Source organism: Homo sapiens, chromosome 4 (assembly GCF_000001405.40).
Source record: "Homo sapiens chromosome 4, GRCh38.p14 Primary Assembly".
Taxonomy (NCBI): domain Eukaryota; kingdom Metazoa; phylum Chordata; class Mammalia; order Primates; family Hominidae; genus Homo; species Homo sapiens.
The window spans coordinates 67,526,954-67,548,493 of NC_000004.12; the positions used below are offsets into that span (position 1 = coordinate 67,526,954).

The 21,540-nt window shown below is 36.4% G+C and overlaps 1 protein-coding gene across 5 annotated transcripts in view, besides 4 other annotated features; it reads right to left on the minus strand.

Annotated features, from left to right (window-relative positions):
• Nucleotides 1-18,550, minus strand: part of CENPC (centromere protein C) — a 76,742-nt gene extending 58,192 nt beyond the window's left edge. For all 5 annotated transcript variants that reach the window (NR_155754.2, NM_001362481.2, XM_047449526.1 and 2 more), the window contains exons 1-5: nt 18,385-18,550; nt 17,196-17,242; nt 14,027-14,097; nt 12,887-12,981; nt 3,862-3,961 (exon numbers count right to left, since the gene is read on the minus strand). Coding sequence is in view for 4 of the 5 variants with exons in the window: in NM_001362481.2 (NP_001349410.1) it covers nt 3,862-3,961; nt 12,887-12,981; nt 14,027-14,097; nt 17,196-17,242; nt 18,385-18,402 (331 nt within the window). In the remaining variant the exon portion in view is untranslated. The remainder of the gene's footprint in view (nt 1-3,861; nt 3,962-12,886; nt 12,982-14,026; nt 14,098-17,195; nt 17,243-18,384) is intronic.
• Nucleotides 18,305-18,544: an enhancer, noted in NCBI's record as "active region_21594". NCBI's record gives its function as "activates an Ori minimal core promoter by ATAC-STARR-seq in GM12878 lymphoblastoid cells {active_cell/tissue: GM12878}" and the evidence as "EXISTENCE:reporter gene assay evidence [ECO:0000049][PMID:35858748]".
• Nucleotides 18,305-18,872: a biological region, named in NCBI's record as "H3K27ac hESC enhancer GRCh37_chr4:68410993-68411543".
• Nucleotides 18,322-18,872: an enhancer, noted in NCBI's record as "H3K27ac hESC enhancer chr4:68410993-68411543 (GRCh37/hg19 assembly coordinates)". NCBI's record gives its function as "activates a minimal SCP1, AML or CMV promoter by ChIP-STARR-seq in naive H9 embryonic stem cells {active_cell/tissue: H9 hESC(naive)}" and the evidence as "EXISTENCE:reporter gene assay evidence [ECO:0000049][PMID:30033119]".
• Nucleotides 18,695-18,834: a silencer, noted in NCBI's record as "silent region_15461". NCBI's record gives its function as "represses an Ori minimal core promoter by ATAC-STARR-seq in GM12878 lymphoblastoid cells {active_cell/tissue: GM12878}" and the evidence as "EXISTENCE:reporter gene assay evidence [ECO:0000049][PMID:35858748]".

Sequence of the window (21,540 nt, forward strand, 5' to 3'; positions counted from 1 at the left end):
GAATCAAGATCAGAAATTAATAAGGAAAAGATAATATGAAATTACCAAACACTGGAAAATTAACACACTTCTAAATAACCAATAGGCTAAACTCTGAAAAGATATTTAAAAATACATCAAAATAAGTGAAATGAACACAAAACATGAGATACAAAACCTGTGGAATACAGCTACAACAGTGCTGAGGGGGAAATTTATGCCAAATGAATACATTTGAAAAGGGAAAAAGAGCTCAAATCAGTAATACACCATGACCACATGGAAATTTTACGCAAGGCTGGTTAAACATTCAAAAATCAATATGTATAAGCCACCATATCAACAGTTCAGAGAAGAAAAATCATATGATCATATGGATTTATGCAAAAAATGCATGACAAAATCCACATTACCTATGATTAAAAATTCTCAGCATACTGGCAGGAGAAAATTTCCCAACCCTATAAAAAACATCTATTAAAAACTTATAGCTAACATCTTAATGTGAAAGATCAAATGTTTTCTAAGAGCAGGAACAACGCTAGAATTTTCACCCCATCCTTTTTTTTTTTTTTTTTTTTTTTTTTGAGACAGGGTCTGACTCTGTACCCAGGCTGGAGTGGGGTGGCACTAGCACAGTTCATTGCAGCCTCAACCTTTTGGGCTCAAGTGACTCTCCCACCTCAGTCTCCCAAGTAGGCAGGACTATAGGCACATGCCACTGCACAAGCTAAATTTTTGTGTTTTTTGTAGAGACAAGTTCTCACTACGTTGCCTAGGCTGGTCTCAAACATCTGGCCTCAAGAGATTCTCCAATCTCAGACTCCCAAAGTGCTGGAACTATAGGCCTACGCCACAGTGCTTGGACCCATCACTGTTATTTAACATAATACTGAAGTACTAGCTAATAATAGTAAGAAAAGGAAATTAAAGACATAAACTAAATTTACCCCAAACTACCCACAATTATTATTTTAAGTGGCACAGTACTAATTTCAGTTAAAATCATAGAACAGACATGGATACCTAATATCATCATTATTAAACAACACTGACTCAGAGATTCTAGCAAAGGCAAGAAGACTGAAATAATCAGATTAAACATAACAAATAAAACCTCTCTTTAGCTGATGACATGGTTATATAGCTTAAAGAAAACTAAAAGATTCAAATTTTTAAAGGTCTAGAATTAATTTTTTTAAAAACCTTGGTAAGTGCTGAATTAAAATTTTGATATAAAAATTAGCCTCATAATTTAAAAAAATGTTCAGAATAGTACAAAAATTATAGTACAGTTAGGATTAACCTTAACAAGAAAGTCAAAGACCCAATACTAGGAGGGAGGGGAGAATGGGGAGCCAGGAGACAGGCTTTATTAAAATATTTTTTATGATAAAACATGAAATTTACAATATTAACCATTTATGAGTGTACAATTTAATGGCATTAAGTACATTCACAACACTGTGCAACCATCATCATTTCTAGAACTTTTTCATCATTTCAAACAAATTCTGTACACATCAAACATTAAATCACCATTACCCCCTACCACAATCCCCTGCAACTTCTATTCTGCTTCCTATCTCTAAATTTACCTATTATAAATACCTCATGTAAGTAGAACTACAAAATTTTTGTCCTTTTTTGTCTGGTTTATTTCAGTTTGCATGTTTTAATGTGTTCAAGATTCTTCTATGCTATGTTATATAGCAGAACTTTGTTTTTAATGACTGACTAATATTACATTCTGTGTATAAATCACATGCTGTTTATCCATTCATCTGTTGACGGACACTTGGCTTGTTTATACCTTTTGAGTATTGTGAATAATACTGCTACGAATATTAGTATACAAATGTCTGCTTCCATCCCTGCTTTCAATTCTTTTGGGTATATACCTAGGAGGGAAGTATTGGGTCATATGGTAGTTCTATGTTTAACTTTTTGAGCAACTATCAAATTGTTTTCTATGGTGGCTGCACCATTTTACATTCCCACCAGTGATGCATGAGGGTTTTAATTTATCCGTATCTTCAACACTTATTTTCCTTTTTTTGTTTTAAATAATAGCTAACCTAGTGAGTGTAAAGTGGTATCTCCCTAGGGTCTTGATTTGCATTCTCTAATGACTGAAGATTTCAAGCATCCTTTCATATATTTATTGGCCAATTGCATACCTTCTTTGGAGAAAAGTCTATACACAGAATGTAAAGTCCTTTGCTCATCTTTTATTTGGGTTGTTTGGTTTTTCTGTTGTTGAGCTGTAGAAGTTCTTTATATATTCTGATTATAAATCTCTATCATCCTTTTCAGGTAAATTATTTGCAAATATTTTCGCCTAGTCTGGTTGCCCTTTCACACTCTTGACAGTGTCCTTCAGATTTATTTATTTATTTATTTATTTTTGGAGACGGGGTCTCACTCTGTCGCCCAGGCTGGAGTGCAGTGGCGCAATCTTCGGCTCACTGCAACCTCCAGCTCCTAGGCTCAAGCGATTCTCCTGACTCAGCCTCCCGAGTACCTGGGATAACAGGTACTTGCCACCACGCCTGGCAAATTTTGGTATTTTTAGTAGAGATGGAGTTTTACCATGTTGGCCATGCTGGTCTCAAACTCCTGACCTCAACTGATCCACCTGCCTCAGCCTCCCAAAGTGCTGGGATTACAGGCATGAGCAACCACTCCTGGCTCCAGATTAACATTTTTATAAGAAAGAAACATAACTTATTTTGTAAAAAACCTAAATAACATAAAAAATGTGAATTCTCACGAAATTACTACATAAATTAAATGCAATTCTAGTTAGAATTCCAAAAGTTTATTTGGAATTGGATAAAACTAAAAGCTCATAGAAAGAAAAAAGGCTGCAGAATGGCAGTGGAATAGTGAAGGTATTTATATCAGGACATACTATGAAGCTACTATTAGTAACAAGAGTATTGTGTTGACAGAGGAAAAAACAAATATATCAAAATTCAAAAGTATGTTGAATGTTATGTGAGATTTAATATATAATAAAAGTAGTACATTCAGAAGAGAACAGATTTTTTTTTAATTTAATAAACAGATCTGACACAACTGACCAACTGGAAGAAAACAAACTTAGAAGATTATGTCATGTTACATACCGAAACACATTCCAGATGGTTAAAGACTTAATTTTATTTTTTAAAAAAAGGTTTTCAGATGAAAAATCTAAGTTGGGATAAGACAGAACTTTTAACTAAAACAAACTTAAAGCTATAAAAGTCACACATTTAACAATTAAAATCCAACAGCCAATAAACATAAAGGTGCTCAAACTCTGGCAATCATGGAAATGGACACTAAAGTAAAAAGGAGATTGCTTAATATCAATGAATGGGCAAGAACGTAGAATAGTAAATAGACTATCAGGTAAAAGGTACTCTTACACTATTGGTGTAAAAGGAAATTATAATAGCCTTTTCTGAAAGCAGGTACAGGCACAGACACATACAAACACACATGCTTTTTTTTTTTTCATTTATGGGCACCAATTAAGGTACAGAACTATTTAAAGGCTACCTCAGCAGAATGATAGGAGTAATGACTAAATTCTTATTTTAAACCTTTATTAACTCAATGGAGTAACACTCTTTTAATCTGAAAAATAAAAAGAAAGAAAACTTTAAAAAGTAGTAGCATGTATCACTGACTAAAGGAAATGGAGAAGAAGAGAGAAAAAGAGCACTGACCATGGAGTTGTAAGGAAATCAAAAACAAATTCATCCATTTCACAATTCACAATTCTGTCTAGGCTGACCCTGACCTTCATACTCAAAGCAACACATGCACCATTAGCGTTTCTCATTTTTTAAATATATCCAAGCAAATAATGCCCATGGAGATGGCACCAACCTGATCTGTTTGTGGCTTCACTTGGTTCTACAACAAACTGTAGAGAGGCTTCTTTCTTCTTTGAAGAAACTGGAACTGACTTTGGATGTGATTTCTGGCACTGAGCACAGAAGAAATACAACATTAGAACTATTTTATTAACTTACCAATTCAATGAAATATATTTGTTTTTTAAATGGGGGGAAAAACAAGTATTCTAAAACAACAAACCAGCTGTTAAGAGTTTTATACTACTTTTTATTTTATTTCTAAAGTAATAGCTACTTTGGAAAACAATCTGGCATTATTCAGTAAAGCTGAAATTTCATACAACCTATCACAGAAACAATATTACTCTAAACAGCAACTATGTGGACAGAAGACTGAATAAACTTATTAAATAAATAAATTATAGTATAGATATACCATATTACATACGTAACAATGGAACAAATAAACTACAATAATATAAATTATTATTTTAACCAGAAAAAAAAGCAACCTGCAGAAGTACATAACAATCTTATCTATGTAAAGTTCAAAATAGACACGTAAAACACTGTAGTATTGAGATTCACTCTGCAGGAAAGAGTTAACATAGGAGGCCTGATATATTTAAAGGACCAGCTTACAGGGCTACCCCTTGGTTGGCATCTGGAGACTTAACTTTTAGAATGTTCCCTCCATTACCAACAGAGAAGGTTGCACCTGCTGCGCCAGCCTGCCTAGACTGTTTGTATAAATAAACACTGTGATCTGTGGTGAACATCTGCTTTCTTTCCTTCTGGGAGTGCGTAAAATTTTGGTAGGCAGGGGATGCCTATGGGACCAACCCCCAGTGAAAACAGGCTGAGTTTCAAAAGGCTTCTCTGAGGAGAAAAAATGTACACACGTTACTGCATTTCACTGCTGAAGGGAATGAGTACATTCTATATGGCCCCTTGAGGAACACAGGAAGCCTATATATGGATTCCTCCAGACTCTGCTAATGCGCATTTTTCCCTTACTGACCCAGCTGTGTATCCTGGCTGAATGACTATAATAAGTATCAGTCATGAAAAACACCAAAAGCAATGGCAACAAAAGTGAAAATTGACAAATGGGATCTAATTAAACTAAAGAGCTTTTGCACAGCAAAATAAACTACCATCAGAGTGAACAGGCAACCTACAGAATGGAAGAAAATTTTTACAATCTACCCATCTGACAAAGGGCTAATATCCAGAATCTACAAAGAACTTAAATAAATTTACAAGAAAAAAATCAAACAGCCCCATCAAAAAGTGGGCAAAGGATATGAACAGACACTTCTCAAAAGAAGACATCTATGCAGCCAACGGACACATGAAAAAATGCTCATCAGCACTGGCCATCAGAGAAATGCAAATCAAAACCATAATGAGACACTATTTCACAATAGTTAGAATGGCAATCATTAAAAAGTCAGGAAACAACAGGTGCTGGAGAGGATGTGGAGAAATAGGAACACTTTTACACTGTTGGTGGGACTGTAAACTAGTTCAACCATTGTGGAAGACAGTGTGGCAATTGCTCAGGGATCTAGAACTAGAAATACCATTTGACCCAGCCATCCCATTACTGGGCATACATCCAAGGGATTACAAATCATGCTGCTATAAAGACACATGCACACGTATGTTTATTGCAGCACTATTCACAATAGCAAAGACTTCGAACCAACCCAAATGTCCATCAATGATAGAGTGGATTAAGAAAATGTGGCACATATACACCATGGAATACTATGCAGCCATAAAAAAGGATGAGTTCATGTCCTTTATAGGGACATGGATGAAGCTGGAAACCATCATTCTGAGCAAACTATTGCGAGGACAGAAAACCAAACATCGCATGTTCTCACTCATAGATGGGAATTGAACAATGAGAACACATGGTCACAGGGTGGGGAACATCACACACCAGGGCCTGCTGGGGGGTAGGGGGAGGGGGGAAGGATAGCATTAGGAGATACACCTAATGTAAATGACGAGTTAACGGGTGCAGCACACCAACATGGCACATGTATACATACGTAACAAACCTGCACGTTGTGCACATGTACCCTAAAATTTAAAGTAAAATAATAATTTTTAAAAAAGCAAATAAAAATAAGTATCAGTCATGAGTTCAACTATATGTCAAATCTCCCGAGTCCTTTTAGTGAAGCACCAAATGTGGATGGTAGTGGGACCTCTGTCACAAGTGGTAGCAGAAGTGTGGACACAGTATCAGCACAGTAGAGAAATAAATAAATGACAGACTTACATGGTTTGCCTGTGTCCCCAACCAAATCTCAATTTGAATTGTATCTCCCAGAATTTCCCTGTGTTGTGGAAGGCGCCCAGGGGGAGACAATTGAATCATCAGGGTCAGTCTTTCCCATGCTATTCTCGTGATAGTGAATAAGTCTCACAAGATCTCATGGGTTTATCAGGGGTTACCACTTTTGCTTCTTCCTCATTTTTCTCTTGCCACCACCATGGAAGAAGTGCCTTTCGCCCTATGCCATGATTATGAGGCCTCCAAGCCATGTGGAACTGTAAGTCAAATTAAACCTCCTTTTCTTCCCAGTCTTAGGAATGTTTTTATCAGCAGTGTGAAAATGGACTAATACACTACACTGCTGTTGAGTGACCACAGTATGGAATTCAATGCCATAAAAAGACAGAGGCAGGCTTTCATTTTATCTCTGCTCTCTCTTAACATCTCATTAAAGATTTTTAAAAACAAACTCAGAAGGATGAAGAGAGAGACAAAGGAGTAGATGAGACATGTCAGCAAACATTTTTAGGTTGAAAAGCAAACTACTGGTAATTCAGCAACCCAGAGAGAATGGAAACATGCTAGCAATGGAGAAAACCCAGAAGCAGACAGATTACTGTTTATGGAGAAACCTATAAAGATTAGTAGAATTGCAAGACACCACTAAAAAAAAGGGGCAGGCCAGATGCAGTGGCTCACACCTGTAATCCCAGCACTTTGGGAGGCCAAGGCAGGAGTATCACTTGAGGTCAAGAATTCAAGATCAGCCTGGGAAACTTAGCAAGACCACATCTCTGTGTAAAAATAAAAAATTAGCCAAGAGTGGTGGTGCATGCTTGTGTTCCTACCTACTCAGGAGGCTGAGGCAGGAGGATCACTTGAGCCCAGAGGTTTGAGGTTGCAGTGGGCTATGAGCATGCCACTGCACTCCAGCAACAGAGCAAGACCCTGTCTCAAAAAAAAGAAGAGGCATGCAAACAGAGGGTGTTAAAAGCGTGTATAGTTGAATGTGTCTTTTGTCGCAGAAAAAAAATTGTGTATAGCAAGTAGTTAAACTGGCTGGGCGCAGTGGCTCACACCTGTAATCCCCATACTTTGGGAGGCTGAGGCGGGTGGATCACCTGAGGTCAGGAGTTCAAGACCAGCCTGATCAATATGGTGAAACCTTGTCTCTACTAAAAATACAAAAATTAACCAGGAATGGTGGCAGGCACCTGTAGTCCCAGCTGCTCGAGAGGCTGAGACAGGAGAATTGCTTGAACCCGGGAGGCAGAGATTGCAGTGAGCCGAAATCGTGCCACTGCACTCCAGCCCAGGAGTGCTTTTTCTCAAAAAAAAGAAGGTAGTAAAACCGAAGAGCCCCTCCCAAACCTATCAGAAGATTATTTACTCTCTTGAGTTTCTTAATCAGAGAGACTGTGATATTAGTGGCATAAGACACAGGTGAAGTTAAGGGCAATACATGAAAACCAGAGATATTAAGTAGGAGCATTTAAACTGCACTTTCCCCTTTGCCACATCTGACTGAAATTGAAAACAATCGCAGTTAGACTTGAACCGCCAAGCGGGAAAGATTTCTTTGTCAGAAATACTTACTAGGCCAAGAGAAAAGAAATCTACAGATATTAACACCAGGATACCAATGATGAAATGGACCAAACTACACCACAGTGACATCCACCAGTCTACAAATTTTACTAGGCATATAGAGCTTCCAATGTGTTTTAGTTTCCCACTTTCAAACAAGAGGAGACAGCTAAGGATCACTGGACATATGAAAAAGGCGAGGTAATGAGCAAAGTAAGTAAAAAAGGTACTTGCAGAAAACAGAAACTGAAGAAATATTTATGAAAAGGGTTAGATGAACCTAATGTCAAGGAATATAATAAAAATTTAGATCACTAAAGACAGATGACATGATCCTAAAAGCCTGCAAAGAGGAAAAAAATAGTCACAAAGGATCATGGAATCACAACAGTATTCTCAACAGGAGAAGCTAAAATAAAAGAAAGCAACATTTGTAAGTCTAAGGGAAAATACACCTGACTAAAAGGGAGGCTTGATATGAAAAAATATATATTATTTTTTAATTAAAGGAAAATAATTTCTAATCTAGAATTCTGTACTCACCCAAATTACCCATCATGAAGGTAAAACCATGGTATTTTTAAACAATTAAGGTCTCAAATTCTCAGAAAGCTACTAAAGGATGAGTCCCACCAAAAAAGGAGAGGCCAAGAAAAAAGGAAGATTTCAGATCCAAGAAATAAGAGTTGCAATTCAGGAGAAAAGCAAAGGGACTCTCTGTGATACAGAGAGAGTACATGACAAAACCTATGTGATAGGTCTAAGGGTAGATTGAAGAAAAAAAAAAGAGCAGGGACAGCAAAGCTGAAAATGATAAATTAATGTGTCTATGCATACTAAGACATTTATACTTAGACGTTTGTCATAGAAAACTGGTGATGAATTAGTCACAGGTGCACAGAAAGTCAAAAATGGAAAAACCAAAATTAAATCAAGAGAAAATTAAGAACTGTACATAAAGAAAATTTAACCATTAGTACTCTACATAGCTGTGACTACTGAAACAGTCATAATAATACCATAAACACTAACTACTAATCCTACTAAAAATTATGATGTACTAAAGAATGGAAGTTTATGTGTTGTGGTCGGAAGTAGAAACTATATGACAAATAAAGTCTAAACTTCCATAGTAGAAAGCCAATAAATAATAGCAAAGACTGGGAAAAAAAATCAAGAAACAGCAATATAAACATTATTTAGAAATATGGAGTCAAAATACCTAGAGTAATAGCTAAGACTAAAAAGTTGGACTTGGAGGAGGAAAAGTGGGGTCTACTATTTTTTTGTGGAATTTATGGAACTACTTTAACTTCCATGTACATAATGCCTTTGAGCTTTAAAAATCAATCTTCCAACAAATTAAGAAGAAAAGTATGTAAAAAGATAGGGAAGAGAATAAAATAGTGAACCAGAATAGACTGCTGATTCTTTGAAAATGTTAATGACAGAAAAATACCTGTAACAACACAGATAATTTAAAAAGGTGAAAACCAGCAATAAAAAGAGAGTAATAACTATGAGGAAGATCATGAAGTTGACTATACACAAATTGAGAACAGAGGAAATGTTTCAAGAAAATTATAAAATGTCAAAACTGGCAAAAGAAATATAAAAAATGCAATAGATCATTGAATAAAGTGGTAATCACACACATCCCCACCAAAACAGCTCCAACCATATGTTTTACAAATGATCCAAATTTGAAGAAACAGATCATTTTTGCTTAATCAAGTTATCCCAGAAAACAGAAGAGAAAAACTAATTTATTTCATGAAGCTCGGTTGTGTTTCAGTTAAAACCTACGGAGTCATATCTTATTTTACTTAAAGACAAACAAATATGAAGTAATAACTAGACCTAGGAATCTCAAGTTCGCAAACAGAAAAGCCTATAAGATAGATAAGTCTTAAGTCTGATTTTATTTTCAAATCAAGTAAACAAATTTCATTCCTTATGTGGAAGGCCTAGGCCAAGCTTGCTGCATGGAAAGGCCCTACCTGAAAAAAAAACCCTAACACCTACAAAGTCTCTGTTGTTTTGAAGCATCCATCTCAAGGATTAGAAAAAATTAATAATATAAAAATAAAAATAAAGAATATATGAAAAATAAAATTAAGAAAAAAATAATGAAACTAAAAACAAGCAAATGAGAGGACCGACAAAGCCAAACTTGGTTTTCTGAAAGACCAAAATTGATAAACCCTGACAAAATTAATCGATGAAAAAGACAAGGCATAGCAGGCACAGTGGCATGTGACTTACGAGCAGTAATCCCAGCTATTCCTTAGCTTAGGGAGGATCACTTAAGCCCAGGAGTTCTAATCCAGCTTGGGCAACATACCAAGATCCCTACCTCTAATTAAAAAAAAAAAAAAAAAAGATAAGGCATAAATAACCAATGTCAGGAATAAAAAAGGGGATATAACTGTAGATCCTACAGACATTAACAAGACTGGAAAAAGACATGACAAAACAACATTATCCAAATAAACTGGAAAATTTAAATAAAATGAACAAATCCCTAAAAAAAGAAAAGTAGAACATTTAAAAAAAATAGAAAATCTAAATTGTCTACTGAAACTATTAAGTAAAATCTAAATCTTTAATGTTCTATATCATCATCTAGGTAGTAGTTGTAAAAATTCAATGAAATATACACGCAATTTGTGTATTTTAATGTATTATGTTTCATAAGAAAACAAAAGTGAGGCCAGGCACAGTGCTCATGCCTGTAATCCCAATGCTTTGGGAAGCTGAGGCAGGAGGATTGCTTGAGCCCAGAAGTTTGAGACAAGCCTAGGCAACACAGTGAGACCCTGCCTCTGTAAAGAAAAATTTTAAAATGGCCGGGTGCGGTGGCTCACACCTGTAATCCCAGCACTGTGGGAGGCCAATGCAGGAGTATCACTTGAGGTCAGGAGTTTAAGACCAGCCTGGCCAACATGGTTAAACCCCATCTCTACTAAAAATACAAATATTAGCCAGGTGTGGAGATGGGCGCCTGTAACCCCAGCTACTTGGGGGACTGAGGCAGGAGAATCATTTGTACCCCGGAGGCAGAGGTTGCAGTGAGCCAAGATAGCACCACTACACTCCAGCATGGGTGACAGAGCAAGACTTTGTCTCAAGACAGATAGATAGATAGAGAAATAATAAATAAATAAATAAGCAGGCCAGCATGGTGATATGCACCTATAGTCCTAGGTAGTCAGCAGGCTGAGACGGAAGGGTTTGAGCCCAGGAAAAGTTCAAGGCTTCAGAGAGCTGTGATCATGTCATGGCACTCCATCCTGGGCTAAAGAGTGAAACCCTGTCTCAGAAAATAAATAAATAAATAAATAAATTAGTATTTTAAAATTCTCGCAAAGAGAAAACTCCTATGAATTCCATCAAATATTTGAGAAAGAAACAATAGTGGTTCATAAAAACACTTCAGGAGAAAAGAGACAGAGAAAATACTGAACAACTCATTTTACAAGACCAGTACAAACACAGAGTAGAACCTTTATTTTGAACATTTCTTATTTATTATACATTTAAAGTTATGAATTCCCTCTAACACTATTTTAGCTAAATCTCACAAGTTCTGATAAGTCATATTATTATCTTCATTCAGAATATTTTATATTCCCAACATGCTTTCTTCTTTGGCCTAAAGTCATTTAGAAGTCATTGCAGTGGACCTTGGCTTTAGAGCACAATGTCTTAAAAGGGACCAGATTTACCCTCCTGCCTGAATCAATTTTAAAAAAAGAAAAAACATACAAGATTCTCAAGAAATACGACATTGAAAAACCAAAGAGAATGATTCTTGAGATGGGAAACAAATGAGGTGAACCCTCTGATCACCCATTTCCAGATGTGACACACAGGGGAAATCCTCAGTTGAGGAGCCAAAGCTGAGGATTCAGGAAGACCAAAGTGGTTAGAATTTGCAGGATAAAGTACTGGACAGGAGACGGTTACATAGAGAAAACTGCAGAATGTGCAGATCTCTCTCAAGCATTCAATCAAATATTGATCAGAGAATGCGTTGTAAGAAAACCAGAGAAAGAACCACCCGAAGCCTTGAGGGGGAATATCCTCCCAGTTACAAAGGACCTAGAATAATCTACCAGCCAGAGTGGAAAACCTCCATAAGTAACGGGACACAGTAGAGAAGAATTTTGCCTCAGAAGGGAAGAAAATTAGCCACAGACTATATTTTGCTAGTCTTTATTGTTTCCACAGCTTCTCATATATCTAAAATTTGTTTCCATTTTTTAAAATAGCTGCTTTAGCAGGAGTGTTAGCCTTCTGTGACTTACTGCATTCTACCTAGAAGAGGAACCTCTAGCATAACCTTGATACCAAAGCCCTGTAAGAACATTTTTCAAAAAAAGACAATATTATTCATAAACATAGATGCAAACATCTTCAATATTAGGCAAACCTAATCAAAAAAAGTTAATACTTTATGACCAAGTCAAGTTTATCCCAGAAAACCTAAAGTTGCTTTAACTTTCAAAAACCATTGTAATTTATCAAGTTTCAGAAGGCCTCTCAATTCTGAAAGAAATGGTTTTGTCTGCATTGCTTGGAACCAAAAGGCTACATATGTTTAATATGTTGATTGCCTTTTACAGTTTTCTAGTAAGTGTTACTTCTAGCACTATATGATTTTTCTAATTAGTATTGTGCTTTTGAATAATTTGCCTTAGATTAGCTTCAAATACTTTATTTGAAAGTCTGCTACTTAGTATAGTTAAGTCAACCAATACTTTATTTCTGATCAAACTAACAGCAATTAAAATATATAATCAACAGAAGATTGATTTCCCCGTATAACAATGAAGTGCCTTCATTTATTAGAATATAACCAACCCTGCCAACCTGATTAGCAACTTTGATCACTGCCCATTTTCCTAAAAACCTAATTTGAGTATTATTTTAGGAGAAGTGAAAAATGTTTATTATAATTTGATAATTCTAATTCCCATAATCCCAATTCCAACAGAAAATATCAAATAAAACTTTTCACAAAATACCTCCAAATTTTATAGAAAGTCAATGGGAATATAGAATTCCCTTTCAAGAATAAGACTTACAAACAACTAAAATATACATGAGTATATTGTGTATACCTTCATTCATTAAAATATTAAACCTATACCAGCTCTTCTTTATCACTTACCTCTTTGCTTGGTGACTGAATACAAGTGTCTTTTATTTTGCGTGTTGAATTAGGCACTGATTTTGTAGAATTTGTACTAAAATCATTGGCAAGACCTAAAACAAAAGTATGAAATTTTCAAAAACAAGATATAGTGTAATATCTATTAGTCACAATTAAAAGTAGCTGTATATGACATGTGAAGAACCATCTGTTGACTCACTGACCACAATTAGCTTAAATCAAGTAGAGACCTCAATTTAATATTCAAATGTTCCTGAGAAGCATCAGGAAATGAGAAAAGCAAACAAAACACCTGAAGTATCAATATATGCCAGCTCTTCTTTCAGAGCTTGTATAGAAAACATTCTTTTCTATCATCTGCCCCTATTTCTTTGGCTGGCTTATTCTCTTATTCCAATACCTGCTGATGCTAATCAGCACTTGGAAAAGTTTTTGCTGTAATTTATGACTTCCTTAAACAGATATGTAAATCACCAAAGATTATCTCAAATTCTCCAGCGATTCCAAGAATTCTACACATCTATTTTCATTATATATTTTTTCTGGCTAGATGCAGTGGCTTATGCCTGTAATCCCAACACTTTGGGAGGCTGAAGAGGGCAGATCACTGGAGGGCAGGAGTTCGAGACCAGACTAGCCAACATGGTGAAACCTGGTCTCTACTAAAAAATACAAAAATTAGCCAGGCGTGGTGGCACACACCTGTAATCCCAGCTACTTGGAAGGCTGAGGCACAAGAATCACTTGAACCTGGGAGGCAAAGGTTGCAGTGAGTTGAGATAGCACCACTGTACTACAGCTTGGGTGACACCGCAGGACTATGTCTCAATAAATAAATAAATAATAAAATACTTTTTCTTGTGTATGATAATTATGTATGGACTTCCAGATTACAGTAATTTAATGTGAACTAAACGGGATGACAAATTATTGTCAAATTATTATTTTTTGTCAGTATTATCCTAAGTATACCAGAAGGTACACAAAGGATTGCATATGAACTCAAAATACCAGGGAAAATATTTTCCATATATTTAAACCCTAGAACATATTTGCTGCATTTGATATTAATTACCATGACAAATTCATATTTTCATCCATCTAACCCTTAAATTCCATCTTGAAATGAAGCCTTACTTTTTTCTTCAAAACAGTCTTGTAAGATTTCCAGAACATTCTGGCCTTGCTCTGTGTTAATGTCACGTGCCCTAATAAAGGAAAAATACAGCCTGTCATTTTCAGAAGATATTTCTTTATATTACCATCTCTTTGAAAATTCCACATCTCATTATAAAATATAAATTTACTTAATATGTAAAATATCTTTACTATTTGAAGACAAAACAAGTACTTGAGGGTCTATACATTCCCTCAAGTGAACTCTTTCCTTCCTAATAAGAATTAGTATATCATAATCTACCTTAACAATTAATATTTCTTAGTTGAACAGCCATGTCTAAAGCTGTTTTAGATTACTGCTGTATCTCAAAAACACAAATTTTTTTGAATGAATCCAATCAGTCCTGAAATGCTTCTTTAACAGACTTTACAGTCACATCTCCAAGTAACATATTCCTCCCTATAAATTCTCAAATGCATTTCTAATTCAGTATCATTGATTAATCTTAACAGTTTATGAATCAGTATAAATTTTAATTAAAAATTATATTGAGCTTGTAGATTCACAGCCAGCTATACAACATAATACAGACCCCTTGTTCACTTTACCTAGTTCTCCTCAGTGCTAATATTTTGCAAAACTATAGCATATTATCACAATCAGGATACTGATATTGATACAATCTACCAATGCTATTGTGATTTCTCCAGTTCTACATGTACTCATTTCTGAACATACTCATGTTTGTGTGTATATATACAAAATGTATCACATCTGTAGGTGCAGATAAAACAACCAGAGTCAAGATACTGAATAGTTCCATCATCACAAAGATCCTCTATTGTCCTTTTGTAATCATAACCACCTTTCTCTCATCTCCTTCCTGCCTCCTCTCATTCCTAACCTCTGGCAACCACTAATCTGTCCTCCATTTCTAAAACTCTGTCATGTGGAAACAATTATATGTAAATAGAATCATACAACATGTATCCTCTTGCCTTGGCTTTTTTCACTCAACACAATTCTATGGAAATAAATCCAAGTTGAATGTACCAATATTTCATTGCTTTTTAGAGTCAAGTAATGTTCCATGCTATGTGTGTACCACAGTGTTTAACCATTTACCTGTTGAAGAACATCTGGATTTCAATCAGTATAAAATTGACATGCATCTCTAACAGAGTGGACAAACTTTTGCTTAAAGGGCCAGATGGTAAATATTTTAGGCTTGTAAACCATAGTCTCTGTCACAACCAGTCGACTCTCCCATTCTAGCCCAAAAGCAACCACAGACAGTATGTAAACAAAGAGGCATGGCTGTGTTCCAATAAAATTGAAATAAAACCTGTGACAAAACATTTGGCTGGCCTATCAGCCAGAGTTTACTGATCCCTGATCTACAACATTCCTATTATTGAGAGCTGGAAAAGTACTATATATGCAGTAATTAAAAACTGTGAGCCACAGTGCATTATCAGGTCATCCATCATAAAGTTTTATAACTGAAAGATCTCAGAAATCATCCAGTCCAATAATCATCATCCAAATAGATGTGTAAAGTTACTTTTGGAGCTTTGCAGAAATACACTTAATTGGTCACTTCCCACAAACCAATTTAATTAGATTTCCTAGGGTGATGGAGGTAATTCTGATGTGCAAATCTAGTTAAAAACCCCTAGCTGAATCCTATGCCCTCATTTTGCAGATAGGCAAACTGAAACCCAAAATGGTCAAATGGCCTACCTCAGTTTGTAAACCTAAGTAGTATTAGTGGCCGGTTTTCTACCAGAATATATATAGGTGACTATTATAAATTCTGGCCTTGACATCACCCCAAAATACCACCTACAGGTGCACATATTGCACAGCTATAAATACACTCCTGCTATTACCTGTTTCAAGGATGAGATCCAAAAAGATCAGATTTGCCAAGGTGATAATGCAGAGTCACTATTAGAACGCAGGTCACATTAGGCAACAGCTTTTTCAAAATTTATCAAATTCGTCTTTTCTTCCCCTTTGTCATTATTACCTTAGCATAAAAGCACCTCCACCATGTGTAGATTACTACAACACCCTCCTTAAGCTACTTTGTAAACATCAAACATCTTTGCTTTTTTAAATGTGTGTGTGTGTTTATATCAGATAGCCCTTATTCCACAGAAGATTTAGGAGAGCTTATTCAAGCCTATAATAGATGCCTAAAGCCTAACATATCCATTTTATGGCTCAATCCAACTCATATGGTCTTGTTTTCCACTTCTACCCAACATATTCAACCTTCTTAAATCAGGTCTCTCTGCTACTGACAAATATATGTATTCCTACTTTGGTTCCTTCGTTAAGTTACTTTCTATGTCTGGAATATACTTTATCTTAGTCTTTAAATACCTGTTCAAGGTCCACCAAAGTTACACTACAACTTTAAAGCTTTTCTTAATATCAACAACACACAAATCCCTAATTTCTCACATGGCTGTCTATACTGCAAGTTAATGCCTAATTATATATAGGCCTACTCTCTATGATACACAAGTCATTACTTCAGTATTGCAAGTAATAATTTTTGTCCATTAAATTGTTTCACAAATGTACATATACATTTTCCCAACAGAAATCTAAGCTTCTTGTAAACAAAAGAACATACTTCTGTGCCCCATTGGACCTACTAAAATCACAGCTCAATAAACATGACGTTATTCATAATAACATCTTCACTTTTAAAAACATGCTTTTCATCCTATTACTAGTAAATATTTAACTAGAAAATTTACTTTTTACAGGTTTTACAACTAAAAGAAGAACCAAAACAACCCAAACAAGCACTCAACAAATGCACGACAGCATGTACTATTTTTCTTTTTGCCCCACTGAATAAGCTACATCTTTCTAATTTTACCATTTGATTCATTCTACAAAATGCTTTTCCCATGGCAGTCACTTAGTCAGAACTGAGACTCCCTCTTCCTGGTTCCACTATTTTATCAGGTGAATTTCTTTTTTCACAGCCACAAAGTCATTGCACTGCTTGCATTAACATTCCCGTTAGTATAAGATGACTACCCTTAATCAGTGGGCACAGAAATCATTATATTAGTCAGAGGTGATAGTTTTTCCTTTCTTCATTTAAAAATCTATTAACGATGAGAATAAAAATAATCTTAAAAGCTTAAGTACGTAAATCACCTGGAAGGTCGACAAAATCTTCTTCTGTAGCCATTTTTGAGATGATCCTGAAAGAAAAGTAAATCATCAATTTGGTTTCTTTAAGATAGAGTCGAGTAAAATTTATTTTCAAAGTAACTTCATCCAGTATGGGCATGCTATACACCAAACATCTCCTAAGGGCTCAAAACAATTTTGAGGTTATGTTATGACATAACATAGGTTATGACAGGCATTTAAAAACTGAACTGCAGGCATCTGGTAAGCTTTATTCCGCTTCTCTCCCCACAGTGAGAATGGCTTTATTGCTTTCTTCTGATTATATATAATGTAAACAATATATGTGCTCATAGTAAAAAGTATAGATTATATTATTCTTTCATACAACTCTTTATGTTTATATGTATAACGTCACATAATGGGAGATCATCGAAGCTGAAGATTTTCTTAGAAGGGGAGATAAATTAGAAAAGAAATGATACGGATTTTTATATAGTAACCATAACCAAAGTATGAAATATAGAATAGTGAACACCAAAGAAGTCCAGAAATATGTAAACAAAATGAGTTGTCGCCCCCATTAGTCATTCACAGCTTGTACCTTTTAACTGATAGCTGTCTTTCAGAAGAGTTTGTCAATAACATATGCTCCATAAATCAGCCTCAAGAACTGCATAAAAGGCCACCATTTTGACAGAAGAACTGAAAACGTCAAATTATTTCGAGACGTACTTGTTACATAATCTGTTTCTCCCAACTACCAAGTGTGACGCAAAGACACACTTTTAAGGCGTTTCAATACTTCTACCATGGGGAGAAAAGTTATTTGGAGGCCTAGGAACTGGAGCTAGACTAAAAAGCAGAAGCCAAGATCGCGCCACTGCACTCCAGCCTGGGGGACAGAGCAAGACCCCGTCTCAAAAACAAAAACAAAAAAAAACCCAGCAGAAATCACAAGCACCTCTCAAGAGTAAGACGTAGGCACAGACGAAATGACGACATGAAAACTTAAGAAATAATAAAAGTACAGTAAATTAACTCTGGTTATCGACACACGATCACACTTGATTTCAAAAATTCCTGCGGCTTTCCCACTGAAATCCCTCAGAGATCACAGCCTCAGCCTAGCATTTCCTTCTCCCCAGCCTCGGGCGCCCGTGCCCCAGCCAGCCGCTCAACCACTCGCCTGGAGCGGGGGGCCTGCACTTACCAGACCGGACGCAGCCATGTTCCGGCCCCGCTGAGCCAGCGCAACTGTCTGAGGTGGAAGCCCACACGGACCACAGCTCCAGGAAGCCGAGCAAGAAACGAATCGCCGGAATACCAGGCCGCGGCCAAGCAATAACCTTAAGTCTCAGGCGACTGCCGCGAGAGCTGCGATCCGGAAGGCGCGCGCTAACAACACTCCCCCGCCATTGGCTCCGCCCTCAACAAACAAGAACGCTTGGCCTGTGCCTGGGTTTGAACCCGGAGACACATGCGCAAAACGGGCCGCGCCGTCCAATAGGAAGCAAGCCGTTAGTGGGCTCGCCCCTTCATGCTCCAGGCCAACGGCCCTCCAGCCTGCAGACCCACCCGCCCGCCCTACCTCTAGCCGCTCTGCTCTTCCCACCTCCCTTCCTCAGCGCCGCGCCCGGGACAGGCGCGAGACTGGGCTTTTATTAGGAAGGCACGATCCTGGGAACCGCTCCTTGTGCCCAATGTAAAACTTCTCAACAGTTCTATTAAGGAATAATAAGTAATACTTGGAAGGATGAGAGGTAGAAATTGCAGACGACTTTTTTTTTAATAGAATCTTTTTTTGAAGAGATTTTTCTAATGCAGATTCGTCAGCCACGCCCAGCCCATCTAACCATCATCTCTGAAAATAATTGAATAATTATGTATAATAATGGTGATGATGGCTTGTATTCTTTTTCAAGTATGTGGGCGATATTTTTATGATGCATTGCCAACAAATGACCCACGTAAATATCTATCATTTAAGTATGATGCACTGAAAAGAATTCTATACAGAATCCTGAAACCTGCCAGCCATTGACTAGCTATGTTATGGAGGGCAAAATTGCGGCACCATTCTGGGTGTTTCCATAGTGATAGAATGGAAGTCTAAATTAGACGCTCTGAAGACTTCTCACCTGACCAGTGTATGATTCTATGAAGCTGTATCTTATTTTATTATTTAATTTAAAATTACAAGAAAATTCTAATCAGAAAATAGTTTACTAATTGAATAAATACATTAATCAGGAGTTGAGCTAATAGATTTTTAAAACATGTAGTGCTTTAACAAATGCTGTCAACTATGAAGGCCAATTTTTTTATTTTATTTATTTTTTTGATAGAAAAAAAGGAACTATGATCTCTGACTGAAATTAGGCCTGGATTGCACTCCATTCCATTAATTCTGCCATTATGGGCAACTAAGTTATCTGTTCCTTAATTCTCTTGTCTGCAAAATGAGAATACTATTAAAGTGGTTGAGATGTTGTAATTGAATAATTCCTGTTAAGATCTAAGCACAATGTTTGGAACATAGTAAGAATTCAATAATAAAGCTATTGGAATCATTATGGAGAGTTTTTTACTATGTTTGGCAGTTTTGCCAATCAGTCCAACTTATAATTTGGTGCTGTCACATTTGGAATAGATAATGATAAACACTAACATTTATTGACTGCATACTCTATGCCCAGTTCTGAAATGCTTTGCATGCATTGAAGAGAACAATTAATATTCCTGTTTTATAAACAAGGGCACTGAAACACAGAGAGCTAAGTGTCTTACCCAAGATCACATCACCACTAAATGGTAGGATGGGTTATTATCCCAAGAATTCTCACTCCACAACTGAGCTCTTAATCACTACACTCTTTGCCTCTGGGTAAGAAATTTTAGCAAGCACGATTATAGATGTAAAGTCCCACATGTAAAATTATATCCTCCTGCTTCCACTGGAAACTAAGTCCCACACTTATTTTGAGAAATTTGGAATGCAATGGCTTGTGCTGCTGCAGAAAGCAGGCCACAGAGGGCGTTGAGGATTAACTGTTCTAAAGAAAATAGAGCAGTACTCTTATAAAAACAGTTGTGGAGACTCCACAGTTTCCAGAGAAACGTTTTACTTCCATATGTACTTGTTGTAGTACTTAATAGCCCACCATGGTTTTAGTATCCTAAAATAGGATTGCTAATTAATGGGGGGAGTAATATTTATTTAAAAACCCAAGTTTGTCGTTATAAATCTCCCCCCAAAATACATCAAAGATTACTTCTTATGAACTGCTAGGACAATCTTGAAGTTTTCTTTCACAACTACTTACCTAGTTAAGGGGTGTGTGTGCATGTGTGTATTTACATATCAGTATATGGAAGTATTAACATATACATAATTAGATGTGTATATGGGAACATAAAGTATCCAGAAATTTGGCTTGAAAGAGAAGTAAAAAAAACTTTTCGTTACTTATGGTTTTAGGTACATAATTTAAAATTTGTAAATCTTGAAACTATTTCAAAGAATATTTTGTTTTAGATCTTTGATTTCCATCAAATAACTATGGTATGGGTATTTACTACCAAAGTGTCTTCCATTAAGTGTTAGCACAAAAATATTCACAACTGAACTAACACTTAAAAATTAGTCTGTATTCATTCCCACCCCACAGCTTAACATGTGCATCTGTCCTGGTGAGTGGATAAACAAATGTACCTCAATGCAGTGCAATACTCTTCAGCAATAAAAGCAAACTACTGATATACAATATGGATGAATCTTGAAAGCACTGTACTAAGTGAAAGAAGCTGGACATCAATGACTGTATGAAAAGAAATCAAATCGCTGGTTACCAGGGGTTGAGGAGGGTGGGGGAAAAAAGACTGTAAAGGAATAAGAGGGAACTTTTTGCGGTGCTGAAAATATTCTATGTCTTGATTACGATGGTAGTTACATGGCTATATCTATTTGTCAAAATTCCTAGTTAGAACTGTGCCCCTGAAAAAGGCGACCTTTTTTTTTTTGAGAAAGGTCTTGCTTGGTTGCCCAGGCTGGAGTGCAGTGGCACAATCAAGGCCCACTGCAGCCTCTACCTGCTGGGCTAAAATGATTCTCCTGCCTCAGCCTCGTGAATATCTGGGACCACAGGCATGCACCACCACACCCTGCTAATTTTTTTTTTTTTAATTTTTTGTAGAGATGGGATCTTCCTATGTTGCCCAAGCTGGTCCTGAACTCTTGGGCTCAAGTGATCCTCTGGCTTCTGCCTCCCGAATTGCTGGGTTACAGGCATGAGCCACCACACCTGGCCAAAATAGTGACTTTTACAGTAAATTATACCTCAGTAAATCTGTGAGAGCGATGATAAAA